This window comes from Homo sapiens, chromosome 6, assembly GCF_000001405.40.
Source record: "Homo sapiens chromosome 6, GRCh38.p14 Primary Assembly".
NCBI classification, from domain to species: Eukaryota; Metazoa; Chordata; class Mammalia; order Primates; family Hominidae; genus Homo; species Homo sapiens.
This window is the reverse complement of record NC_000006.12, coordinates 108,358,552-108,372,678: the sequence shown is the minus strand read 5'-3', so window position 1 is coordinate 108,372,678 and position 14,127 is coordinate 108,358,552. Positions and strand designations below refer to the sequence as shown.

Below are 14,127 nucleotides of genomic sequence, written 5' to 3'. Positions count from 1 at the left end.
GACTCTTTGACTTAATGGACATAACAATTTTACTTGTTAAGAACAAGTTTGGGCCAGGTACAGTGGGTCACACCTGTAATCCCAGCACTTTGGGAGGCCGAGGTGGGCGGATCACAAGGTCAGGAGTTTGAGACCAGCCTGGCCAACATAGTGAAACCCCATCTCTACTAAAAATACAAAAATTCACCAGGCATGGTAGTGCGTGCCTGTAATCCCAGCTACTCAGGAGGCTGAGGCAGGAGAGGCGCTTGAACCCAGGAGGCGGAGGTTGCAGTGAGCCAAGACTACACCACTGCACTCCAGCCTGGATGGCAGAGCAAGACTCTGTCTCAAAAAAAAAAAAAAAGAACAAGTTTGGCTCTGGTAATTGACCTTCATAGCTAAAATATAAAACTATTTGGTAAGTAAAAAAATAAAATAAAAATCTTTTCCTAGCAAAAAATAAAAATAAATTTAAAAAATAAAGAAAATAACCAAATGTTAATTTTATAGTTATGTCATCACATATTTGAAATAAATGAAAAAAAGTGAATTTACATAATTTATATAAAGTGAAATATATATATATATACATACATAATAGTACTACTACTAGAAATGTTATTTAAAATAAACTAAACAGGCTGGGCGTGATGGCTCATGCTTATAATCCCAGCCTTTTGGGAGGACTAGGAGGGAGAACTACTTGAGCCCAGGAGTCTGAGACTAGCCTGGGCAACATAATGAGACCCTAACTCTACAAAAAAAATTAAAAATTAGTTGGGCACAGTGGTACATGCCTGTAGTCCTAGCAACTCAGGAGGCTGAGGCAGGAGGATGGTTTGAGCCCACGCATTCAAAGTTACAGCAAGCCATAATCATACCCCTGCACTCCAGCCTGGGCCAGAGTAAGACTCTGTCTCTAAAAATAAATAATTAGTTAATTAAATTTAATAAACATTTTGAGACTGCCAGAAAGGAAAATCCCTAGAGACCAAAAAACAAAGAGAAAGCTAAAAACTAAAATAGTAATCATGCCAGGCACAGGGACTCAAGCCTATAATCCCAACATTTTGGGAGGCTAAGGTGGGAGAATAGTTTCAGCACAGGAGTTTGAGACCAGCCTGGGCAACATAGGGAGATCTACAAAAAATTTAAAAATTTGCTTGGCCTGGTAGTCCAAGCTACTCACAAGGCTAAGGCAGAAGGATCACTTGGGCTCAGGAGGTCGAGGATGCAGTGAGCAGTACCACTTGCCACCAGGCCCAACTCATTTTAAATTTTTTATAGAGATAGGGTCTCATTATGTTGCCCAGGCTAGTCTCAAACTCCTGCGCTCAAGCAATTTTCCTGCCTAGGCCTCCCAAAAAGCTGGGATTGTAAGCATGAGCCATTACACCCAGCCTGTTTAGTTTATTTTAAACAACATTTCTAGTGTCTTGTAGTGGTATCACACCACTACACTCCAGTCTGGGTGACAGAGTGAGACTGTCACAAAACAAAACAAAAATAAAACAAAACAAAAAATAAAGTAGTAATCACAAGCTTATACTGATTTGGGGTTTTAACAGCTGCATGGTGTACAGAGGGTGAGGCCTTGGACCCAAACAAGGCATGAACTGGAAGTTAGGGCTAGAAAAAACAGTGAAGTGCAGGAAAGCAGTCTTTGGTACCTTATTCCCTCCACCCGCCTCAAGTATGACTTCCCCTTGTCTTCCACAAGACCTTCCAAGACACTCCACTCCACAGCTATTTACTCTCTTAGGTTCCTAAACTTGGTGTTGCTTTACATGACCACCAATTACCAAAGCATTATAACTAGAAATGGAGGGAATGAGATGAATGAAGCAGAAGGAATTAATCAGAGGGGCTAAACGATTAATAGAGAGAGGAAAAAAAGAAAATGCGTGTTCTAGACTCCTAACCTCTAGTTTTCTGTCTCTGTTGAATGGCAGACACACCATTCACCCAGCTGTACAAGCCAGAAAATTAGAAAGTGTCCTTTCCTTTTTCCTCAGTATCCAACCTATATCCAAGTGCTGTCTACTTCACCCCCTAAATCTCTCTCAAATCTATCCTTCTCTCCATATCCATTGCCATCACCTTGTACCTGGGTTTCTTAACCCAGGCTACATAATTCCTTGTTGCAGGGGTTAAATTATAGGATACTTTGGCTATATTCCTGGCCTTTACCTACTAGATGCCAGTAGCAGCCCTCTTCCACCAGGTGAGACAACCAAAAATGTCTCAGATGTTACCAAATATTCCCTAGTGAGCAAAAGAGGCCCCTCACTGAAAATCACTGCCTTATACCCTTATACCAAGGTATCATCATTTCTTGTCTAGTGTGCTACAACAGCTTCCTAATATGTCTCCCTGCATGCATCATATTACTATACCCCATCTAGTAACCTATTCTCCAAACTACAGCCAGAAGGATATTTCCAACTCAGATCACATCAGTCCCTGCTTAAGATAAGCTTCAGTGGCTTAGCGTTTCTCTTAGAATAAAATCCAAAATCCTTATTACGCTAAAAGGTTTAGCTCTTTCCTCTACAGATCAACTTGTACCTTACTGCATCCTTCTCCCCCTCACTCTCCACTCTAGCCCCACTGGCTACCTCAAATGGGTCATTTCTCCAGCCACTCAGCTTTGCCTCAACCCTCTGCCAGCTCTTGTAGCAGTCTAAGAAGTTGGTTCTATTTTAAAAGATAGATAGATAGATAGATAGATAGATAGATAGATAGATAGCCAGCCAGCCAGCCAGCCAGCCAGCCAGATCAATCTGGGGCTGGGTGCAGTAGCTCACGCCTGTAATCCTAGCACTTTGGGAGGCCGAGGCAGGTGTATCACCTGAGGTCAGGAGTTCAAGACCAGCCTGGCCAACATGGTGAAACCCTGTCTCTACTAAAAATACCAAAAATTAGCTGGGCATGGTGGTGGGTGCCTGTAATCCCAGCTACTTGGGAGACTGGGGCAGGAGAACTGCTTGAACCCAGGAGGCAGAGGTTGCAGTTAACCAAGATCGCGCACTGCACCCCAGTCTGGGCGACAGAGCAAGGATCCGTCTCCAAAAAAAAAAAATTGTGACCTAAAAAAAGTTGAACGCATTTTGATGGCTGGAAAAGAGGACACTCTTCTTTATTTTCTTCTCCCCCTCCCACCTTTTTTTAATACAGTACTTTGAGCTGCTGTTTTAAGAAAAGGACGTTCTTTCTCTAGGACAGGATAGACAGAGATCAGTGATGACCATAAGGCAAAAAGATAGAAAACAATGTGTAAAAAGAGTCACAAAACCTAAGTTCTAGTCTTTGTTCTGTCATTCACTATCCATGTCATTTGTTTTTAATTTACTTATAATATGTAACTTTTTTGGCCTACGGTTCTATGAGTTTTTAGCACATGTAACCACCACTACAATCTGGATGCAGCAGTTGCATCCTGAGCCTGCCCCTTTGTAGTCAAACACCTCCTCACCCTGGACCTTGGCAATCACTGCTTCATTCTTCGTCTTACAGTTTTACCTCTTCCTGATATGCTTAGTCTCTCTGAGTCTTTTTCTCCACAAATAAAATTATACACACACACACGCACACATATACATGTCATCTTCATTACTTTAAAATATTAAGTTATTTATGATGATTGTCTGCTGTGGCTAAAAAACCTGGTCTGTGACAAGCATCCCATTCCTTCCACTGTTTATATTTAGAAAAGGCTTTCTCTAAGTTTGTCCAATTTTTGCAATTCCGCATCTTGAACTTACAGTCTTCTCCAGAAGGGTGGCTCCAGCTCAGATTTCTGCAGGCTACCCTGACACACCGGTAGCTTTGTTCACTCCTACAAAGCTAGGAGCTGCAAAACATTCCTTAATCCCTCCTGGTGGCTGTCCTTCCTCAGTTAGTTAACCACACTGCCATAGTCTGAGCAGCCTAATTATCCTTTCAGCAGTCTTTGCTAAAGGGCTTCCAAAATTGTTCTAGCTCTTTGCTATTTACGAGCATAGCTTGTCACTGAATGTCTAAAGGTAATACTGATGCCACTGTCAAATCAACACATCAGCTGTAGTAGAGACAAGTTTCACTTCCACCTAGATAGAAGATCTAATATTAAAAAGCTCACTCCCTTGGCTCATAGGGTGGCTAACACTAGTTAATCACAAGAATGCTGTATATAACATTATATGGATTTTAATAAGTACATCTGCAAAATCACTCATAATTCTTTTGTAGTACAATGGATGAGGTATGACTATAATTGTTTGAATAACTGGATCCAAAAGGTGTTGATTAGTTAATTGATGTCTTCCTAAGATAAGGCCTCCAGTGGTATGCAACAAGTAACTTAATTTAGTCCTATCTGATTTACACATTTTAATTAAGGAATGGCTAAAGACATAGAAATATGATTATCAAATGTATAAATGTCATAGTAGGGATAGCCAAAAAAAAATTATATTAGAATCATACTTCAAAAATACTTCAAACATACTCCATTTGCAAAACAAAAATAAATAAATAAAAACAAAAAACAAAAATAAAAATAAAAAATACTTCAATAAAAATCAATAAAATGGAACAACATAAGACTAATAAGCTGAAATGTAATAGAAGAAAAAGAAATCCACTACACAAACATAGAATGAGAGAGACCTAGTTTCACAGCAGGCTACATAGTAAGATCTGGGTCTGTTAGCAATTTAAAATTCAATATACACCATCAATGTGGCATAGCTTACTTTAAAAAAAAAGTTCCCACTATGGCATTACTCTTTTCAGACTCACTAATGAATTCCATGTTACTAATTGCAATGGTTAATTCTCAACCTCATTTTCAGCTTGTAGCAGCACTTAACAGAAGTAATCATCAATTCTTTTTGTACTACTTTTCTTTTCCTCACTTGACACTCTCCTGGTTCTCCTCCTACCTCACCAGCTGCTCTTTCCTGCCTCCTTGAGGACTGATAACTTCCAAATGTATATCTCCAGCCCAGACTTTTCCAATGAAGTCCAAACTCTTATATGTATCCCCCTTGTCACCACAGAAACCCCTACCTCCACCTCCCTAACCAAATCTGCTTTTTCTGTAGTCTTCCCCATCTCAGTAAACAGCAACTTTATCCTTCCAATTGCTCAGGCCAAAACCTTTGAGTTACTCTTGATCCCTCTCTCTTTTTTCATACTCTAGCTCCATTCCATCAGTAAATCCTGCTGACTCTGCCTATATAGTACATCCAGAACCTGCCCTCTTCTCACCACTTTACTGCTCCATCACCTCCCCTCCCCTTGGGATTGCTGCAGTAGTCTCCTAAAAGGTCTCCTTACTTCTAACCCTGAAACCCCATACCCACACTCTATTCTCAACACTGCAGCCAGAGAGATCTTTTTAAAACATGCAATCATCCAATGTTCATTCTAAGACTATTTACTGAGAACCATCTATGTGTAAGACACTGTTATAGGTGCTGAGAACACATCTGAGAACAGGAGAGATAAAAATCACTGCCCTCATGAAGCTTTTGTATCCTGGAAGGGAACAGACAATAAACTATAAATATAATAAATAAGTAAATTATATGGTAGGTCCATAGTGCTATGGGTAAAAGAGAGAGCAGGGTAAAGGGAAGCAGCACCAAGAAGAAAGGGATGTGTTGCAGGTTCAAACAGGGAGACAAGTCTAGGCTTCACTGGCAATGTAACTTCTGAGCAAAGACAAAGGAGGTGAGGGCTTAGCCATGCAGATATCTGGAGAAACAGCACTCCAGGCAGAAAGATGTTCCCATTAAGTCTCTCATGAAATATTTGTGGTTTCTTAGACCTTTAACTGAGCACGTGATGGGCTGAAAGATGCAAGATTTTAAAGTTGTTGTTTTTAATCTAAATATTACTTGTATTTTAATTTTTAAGTACTTTCCTAATAAGCCACAAGTGCTTTTTTAGAAATGATAATTTAAGTGAAGTATTAGAAACTATTCATGCAAGCAAGTTTTCGGTCTTTTTCTAAAATTTAATTATGAGTTTCGTCTTTCATTTGGTTGAGTTTCTTTTATGGGCCATAAAAAGCAGTCCAAAAGGCCTGCATTTTTTGCTAAGCACATATGACATATCTAATATTTAGGGAAAAAAAAAAACAAAAAAACAGCAAGTGCACCAAACATGGGAATCAACTGGATTTAGCTTGCTAAGGATACAAAACTTTTCAAATGCAAATACCAACTGATTTTTCAGATTAAGCCAGTTATAAAACTAATAATAAGCAAAGTCATCAGATTTATTAACACAATACATTTAGTTCAAAATTATGGATTTTTAAAAGCTTGTTAGTTTCCACCTAATTGGATGAGACTAGCACAATGTTTGTTTTTACCTTCCGGTGGCCTGTTGGATGTTGCCACAACGACGACCCCGTTTTTGAACAGATTTTCAAAAAGCTGTTTCAGAATCATGGCATCAGCAATGTCAGTGACCTATTGACAACAACACATTTGTTTTATTTTAATTTCACTTCTGCTGTAACAAATTTGCTAGTGGATCATCTTTTTTTTTAAGATGGAAGTAAATTCCAAGAGAAAAATTCTAATTATCATCATGAAGAAAAGAGTAGATAATTAAAAGCATGAAACACTGTATAGCAGTCTTTTAAACTTGACTCTTCTTTTTTGCAAGCCTATCATTTCTACACAAATTACCAAATGGTTCTATGATAACTTCTTTTATAGAACTACAGGTGGAAAGCATAGATAATTGTCCTAAACATTTAGGAAGTCTAATTAATTAGAACTAACATGACCAACACCCTCCTCCTCTTCCCACCCGCTTCCCACACCCCCTCAAAAAAGAGAGATGAAAAAATAATAATAATAAAATACACAGGCTGTTTGAGATTTCTAATACCTTTCTGGCAAAGGTCCCTGGAAAGGTGACTTTAAATGGTCATGGGCCTTTAGAAATAAGGACAAGTAGCCAGTGAGACATAATCAGCTGCTGTTGAAAATAGAATGATATGACATAGATACTATTGTGCAATTGTTGCACAAAACAATTCAACAGATGGCCCATCACAAAAATAAGCAATTTCATTGTTCTTTTTAAGTGCCTTCTATTACTGTCCATGAATAATCAAAAGGCACTGCAGTCACTTCCAGCACAGCCAGCCTCTGCTAACCTTCACAAACACAAATATTCCTTCTACCAAAAAAAAAAAAAACAAAAAAAACCACCTTTCAAGAATGGCTAATATAGTCCCTTAAAAAAATAACTTGTGACAATACAAGAAATGCATAATACAGATGAAACTATTCCATCCAAGTTAGGTTTATTGATCTTTTCTAAAATTATTTTTTAAATTCACAATTACGAAGTAAGCTTAATGATGTAACTTTTTCTAAAGGCTTTTAAAATTCACAAAGACAACAATTAAGAAGGGAAAGAAGTTGACTCCAAAAATAAATGTGTAATGAAGATTGACATCAATCATTGCAACTTCCCCTAAGTATATAATAACATGGACTTTAGATACTCCCAATGTAAAAATGTTTTGATCTTTCTTTGATAGCACATTTCAAATAATCTCAGTACAACTTGCTTTACATATATCCACAAGATATAGTACATTGTTATTTTTAAACCCCATTAGAGGACATAAAAATTGGTGAATTCTTTCAATTAAATCAAAATACTAAAAGTTACAAACCGAATGGTTATAATGCAATTAACAATAACCTGGGTTGCACAGGTCTAAATCACTTTTCTTTTTACAGCTAATATCTTCTTTCCCACCTGAAAACAACAAAACCATGAAATAGAGATGTACTTTTTTTTTTTTTTTTTTTTTGGCTGTCTCAGGTTATAACTAAAAAACTGCTAAAGATTCCTTACATTAAAAAGACTTCAGGAACTTCAAAATGGTGATTAAATGAAAAGGAAAGTGGTGCTGATATTATTTAATTTGGAGTTTAGGATCACTGTCAAATTTGGCTTCCGCAAAAACACTGACAGAGAAAGTCCTTTTCAAATGCTTGAACACCAGTGGCATTTCTGATGAGAGGACAGAACGAGCTTGCACATTTTAATAGCAACTGCACTTTTAAATTACATTGCCAATACACTGACTTTTTAAAAGAACAGTATCAATGAAAGTTTACCCGATTTTAGAGAATAAAAATGGTCATTTGACTGTATGATTAATGTCTTTGAAAAAAATGTAAAATAGCTTTTGTGCCCTAAGGTTTAGAAAACTGAAGGGACATTTAGCTTGTAACATAATGCAAAGGTTTAAACTGAAAGTTGAAGAAAGCAAACAGTAAAGGCTTGTAGTTGAGTTATAATTTGCTGTTTTTATATTTCAGAATGTTTTTGCCCTATCAGAGTAAATTAGCTTGGAGAAGCTATGACTAATTAATAAAGCAGGAGTCACTTGCTGTAGCCGGGTGCCAATGTATACTCTTTTGATCTTGTCCCCGCACTTGTTCGGCCTTGCCGGGGAACGGTAATTTTACAGTATAAGTGAACAGAAGACAATTGGCCACACATTCTTGGAGAGCTGGCTTTTTCAGTACCCAGCATTTCATTACCACCACGAACAAAAGAGAAGGCTACAGATTACCAATAAGGGTAGTCTGCTAATACAGAGAGTGGAGACATTTCATTAGCATTAAAGAGAAAAGATTTTTTTATAACCTAGAGTTGCTTTCCATTATGACTCACTTAAGTAAAAAAGAAAAAAAATCTAATGGTTAATTTACATGTGTGAGTGCTTGAGTCTCAGTCATCCACTGATTGGTACAGTGCCATATAATGAGTGACAAACATAAGCATGCATTATCAGTAATTAGGATTAGCACAAAAATAAGCACCTATTTTTTATTAGCAGTTTTTAATAGCTTTCTTCCTGCTTCATAAAAATGGTTAAACCTATTTTTTAAATGATATTGATAGCTGATAGAGGAGAATTTTGCATGATCTTCTGCTCATCAGAATTCTTTTTTTTTTTTCTGGACCCATATTAGTAAAACATCTATTTAGTGTCCCTCTCAGAAGAGATATGAAGAAATAACATTTTTAAAAATCAGTTTTCCTCACTAATCTGATGTCTTCAGAATCATAAACAGTTTAACATGTAACATAAATATTCCAAGAGGACATAATGAAGATCCTAAGGAAAACTCTGAAGATAAGCTATTATTTATTTCACCAACCAAAACACATGTTAAAAACAAAAAACAAACAAAAAAAAACTATCCAAACACATTTCTCAACCAAGGTAAGAATCGTGTATCTAACACCTCAGGTAAAACTGAAATGCGCCTACTTGAGTGTAGAGGGTGGGAGGAGGGGGAAGAGCAGAAAAAAGAACTATTGGCTACTAGACTTAGTACCTGGGTGACGAAATAATCAGTACAGCAAACTCTTGTGACACATGTTTACCTATATAACAAACCTGCACACACACCCCTGAAACTAAAAGTTAAAAAAAGCTGAAATTCTACACTTAGTAAGGAAGACCAAACTAATGAAGAGCATTCTGCAAGTGTAATCTGAATGCTTACCAAAACATAATCTTTAAAATTCCTTAAATTCAAGAGCACAAAAAAGGAGTATATCCATGTTTTTAAGCAGCAATAATTACCATTCGTCTCCCTAGTAAAATAAATATTATATTAATTAACACTACCTAAAGGCCAATAATAACTAGCTAAAAATCAAGGCTACTAATACGATTCCATTTTAAAAGTGAAGTGGTGATTGTAGATATACTGTCACTAAGAATAAAGTGCCTTAAAAACTCTTTTTTAATAAATCAGCAAGTATTGTACTAGGCTTAATAGGCTTAAGGATAATTTTTAGGTTCCATCACTAAAACATCTACCAAAACCCCACCCAGCTCTAGAATTGTATATTTAAACACATAATACAAGACTTTATATACTAAGGAAAATGTATAGCATAGCTGTTACTGGTAAACAAGAGCATTAGTGCTGGACTTAAACTGTTAGTTACCAGTTGTGTGACCTTGGTCAAGTTACTGAACCTCTCTGACCCTCAATTTCCTCATCAATGCAACGAAAGCAGTAATAATACTTACCTTGCAATATTGTTATGAGACATAAAGTAAACTCTCAAGAAATGAGAGACCATTAACTTTGACTATTACCTATGTATGGTATATATGCTAGTATTAATATAATTCTGTATTATTAATGTATAGCTACATAGAATTTTAGCTGTAGCTAGAATTATATTTAGCATTATACAGTTATTAAGAACACAGGCACATAGAAAAACACTCAATAAACAGTAACTAATATTATAGAACATATATAATAGATGGAATATAAGCATTCTAATAAATAAATGGGCAATACCTCAAATAGTTCATAAAAGATGGATTTAACAAGCATGTAAACAAACATGAAAAAAAATCAACCATATTATTTCCTAAAGGAATACAAATTAAAACAAGACACCATTTTTTATGTATTCAATTAGACAAAAATGTTCAGATAATTCAGAATGATGACAGGAAAAAATGTGGGTTGAAGTTATAATATACCTTGGGTTCTGTAAATGCTGATTTTGCTTGAGAAATGCTATTATATGTAAGGGGAGTGGGACTTAATATGGGAACCACTTCCACAGTTTTCATTTGGTATTAGATTCATTCATTCATTCATTTATTTATTCACTACTTATTCATTCATTCTCAGACACTGTCCTAGAAACCTGAGACATCAATTAATAAAGATTCATGCCTTCAAGTTTACATTCTGGGAATACAGATAAACAATAAACACAATAAATAAGTAAATTACATATAATATGTTAAAAGGTGATATATGATATGGGAAAAAAGGTGGGTAAGGGGCACCAGAAGTGTGGGGGTCAACGGTAAGCTGCAATTTCAAATAGGGTGTTAAGATGGGCCTTGTTAAGGAGGTAATTGAGCAAAGATATGATGAAATGAGGGAGTTCCTCTTAGGAATATGTTAGGGTGTGAGGGAAACCACACAGCAACGGTTGCTGCCTAGGCATTAAAAGTAGAACCCAATGGCTCAAGCCTGTGGCCAGAGATAAGAGCTTAGAGGCATAGCTCTTGCTTACAAGATGGGGCTCCTCACTTTTCCTGCTGCTTCCTTTACTTTAAATGAACCATTCAGGCTTTTGCTCACAAACATAGTTACCCCGTCCTATTCCTACATATATATAAAGTACACACATACACGCATGCTGCTAGTTGCCATACTCTCTCTCTCTGCCTGACTCTTCATTACTGCTTCCTGTGACCAGAGACGAAAGACTGGCCTTCTGACTCATTGCTCCCTCCCTGCCCAGCATCTGTAAATAATCAATCTTTGAACTTATTTTCTATTGTAGTGGTGTATTGATTTGCACCTTCCATCTGAAGAACCAGGGTCTGCGCCAGGCCAGGATTTTTCTGGGATGCCAGGAAGAACACAAGATCAGGCTCCCAGTGCCAGAGCAATGGTCAGACAGGCATAAACTGGACATAGGTCAGAGAAGAGCCACAAAGGCATATGCCAGTATAAACAAGTTTCCTGTGTGAGGGACCCCCTGGTCATGGGTCAGACAACCAGGCATTAGGCCATCCTCCAGGTGAAAGAAGTACCCTGTGAAAGGCATGCTGTAAACACCTATGTCCAGCTCCCTGCATTTCCTGTTAGGGCAGGGTTGCCAGCCGCTCTGGTGCTGGAACCCCAATTTAGCTGGGGGCTCTCAGAACAGAGGGACCACTCTGTGCAGAAAGAATCCCCAGTGCAAAGGCTCTGCTTGTTCATTATACATTGTGTGGATGGTGGGGATCAGAGTGCTGGTGCAGCAACATTTTGGAGTATATTTCAACCTCTTGAGTTTTAGGGAAGGGGGATAAGTAGAGATTTGGACTTGTGATCATCTAATTTTGGTGTATTGGAGAAACTTCTTTAAGACCTGTAGAAGACAGTTCAGGATACTGAAACTAGCAGAGATCACTTCTTCCCTTAGGGGGCACACTCTTGCCCTTATATTTTCACTTTCTCTGGCTCTGCTAACACTGGGTATATGCAGATATCAGCCTTTTCTTGCGTGCAGCAGTAATCTCCAAGATTCAAGTTGGAATTGTAAAGGAAATAAAAGAGCAAGACTATTAACATTTTTGCATTCTAGGACATTCAGGCCAAACTTGCTCAGGGGAATAGGGTCTCCCATGTTGTCAACTCTAACATACAAGAATGCTATATTATGCAATAATTGGGAACAGAAAAAAAATGCTACACTAAAATTTGGGATCAAATGAAAGCAATCAATTTGGTATTGTCTTGTTTTGTCATCTCTGTGCATGTTTTCTTCAGAGCCCTGCAAGAAATAAGTAGTTGGTATAATACCCAACTACTAACTGCGGTTCCTTAATCTATGAAGAAAATAGTATTGGGAACAGTAGGAAGCAATGAGTGAGGCTGAACCTGTAGGAGACAAGGTCAGAGAGGAAGCAGAAGGGTTTGAGCAAGGAAAATGACACTACCTTATATAACAGAATATTTCCCCGTTAGAGTACAAGCCCTTTTAAGTTGGGTTTTCTGTTTCCTGTGGCCAAAAGCATTCCTAGCAGATACCTCATCTTTCTCTTCCTGGGCTTTAGCTCACCGATTAATTCTTCCACTGGAGGTAAGAGATTTCATATTAAGGAAAGTGACATTTCCTCACAGTACTTCTTACCAATGTTTATGCTATCTTTTACAGATCATAGGGAAATACGTCTTCACATAGCAGATGGGAGCAAAATATGACTTGAATAGTTCTATTCTCATCAAGACTGTTTGTAAGAAATAGGCACTGGAGATCCAGCTGAAGAAAAGAGATTTACTTGAAACTCCAGGATGGGGACAATACTGATGGCACCTTATGGGAACTGGAGCTCCATTACTTTCTATATTTCTTTGTTTCTGTTTCATTACTAAGAAGAGCTTCCCTCTGTGCCATTTAGTTGAAATTCAATAGAGAGGGTCTACGACTGGCCCATTCGCCAAGCCACACCATACAAGTCCAAGGCTGCTGAGGAGATTGTGGATTAGCTACTTATAGATCAGCTGTCCAGGCATGGTCCATTTAGCTATGGGACAGATAGGGCCCTGTCCTGTGATACGGAATAAGGGCCTTCAAGGCATCCTTGAGATGAATAAGTCAATGAATGAATAAATATCAAAGCAATCTGGACAGGGCAGGCAATAACAGGGATCTCTATCACATCTGCTTTCTCTCCATCAGCAAGCAGCATTTTATAAGAGCCTGTCTCCCCTGGATCTCCCTTACACTCAACATGTAATCTGAAAAATCCTTTCTGTGGCCTGCATTTCTTTGCAAGACTCAGTTCATTTGGAACATTAGTGTTCTGACAGTTGTTTTTGTTTCCTTCTTTCTAGTTATATATCAACCTTTCGAAATCTAAACCCAATGGCGTATGTCAGTACAACCAGGCAGGTTTTTGGTAGGACTTCACTATCAAGGTGGCATTATGACTCTTGTAAGCCCTAGGAACTTTTACTTTCATAAGCCCCATCCTCAATTAAAAAAACATTACGACTATGTTGGTATAAGGACAAATATAATACAAAATAGACAGATACAGGCTGGAGTCATTATTGATATATTCATTTATGTCCACAAATTTTAAAAGAAATTATAATATTTTCTTGATCCCTAAAAGTATCATGAGCCCTAGACACTATGTCTGCTGCACCGACTGGGCAAGTTGCCCTGCTTGCTCTGTATCTTCTTCAGGATCATGTGCTTTGCACAGCCAGATTTTCATAGCATCCTAACCTTCTTAGTCTTGCCTTCCAATACGCTTATGCCATAAAAACATGCCAATCAGGCCGGGCTTGGTGGCTCACACCTGTAATCCCAGCACTTTGGGAGGCTGAGGCGGGTGGATCACCTGAGGTGAGGAGTTCGCGACCAGCCTGGCCAACGTGGTGAAACCCCGTCTCTACTAAAAATACAAAAAAATTAGCTGGGCATGGTGGCGCCCACCTGTAATCCCAGCTACTCAGGAGGCTGAGGCAGAAGAATCGCTTGACCCAGGAGGCAGAGGTTGCAGTGAGCCAAGATCACGCCATTGCATTCCAGTCTAGGCAACAAGAGTGAAACTCCATC

The 14,127-nt window shown here is 38.1% G+C and overlaps 1 protein-coding gene across 13 annotated transcripts in view, besides 1 other annotated feature; it reads right to left on the bottom strand.

Annotated features, from left to right (window-relative positions):
* AFG1L (AFG1 like ATPase) overlaps positions 1-14,127 on the bottom strand; it is a 230,948-nt gene that overhangs the window by 153,323 nt on the left and 63,498 nt on the right. For all 13 annotated transcript variants that reach the window (NR_136553.2, XR_007059229.1, NM_145315.5 and 10 more), the window contains one exon: positions 6,347-6,446. Coding sequence is in view for 11 of the 13 variants with exons in the window: in NM_145315.5 (NP_660358.2) it covers positions 6,347-6,446 (100 nt within the window). In the remaining 2 variants the exon portion in view is untranslated. The remainder of the gene's footprint in view (positions 1-6,346; positions 6,447-14,127) is intronic.
* Positions 6,762-7,304: an enhancer, noted in NCBI's record as "NANOG hESC enhancer chr6:108686579-108687121 (GRCh37/hg19 assembly coordinates)". NCBI's record gives its function as "activates a minimal SCP1, AML or CMV promoter by ChIP-STARR-seq in primed H9 embryonic stem cells {active_cell/tissue: H9 hESC(primed)}" and the evidence as "EXISTENCE:reporter gene assay evidence [ECO:0000049][PMID:30033119]".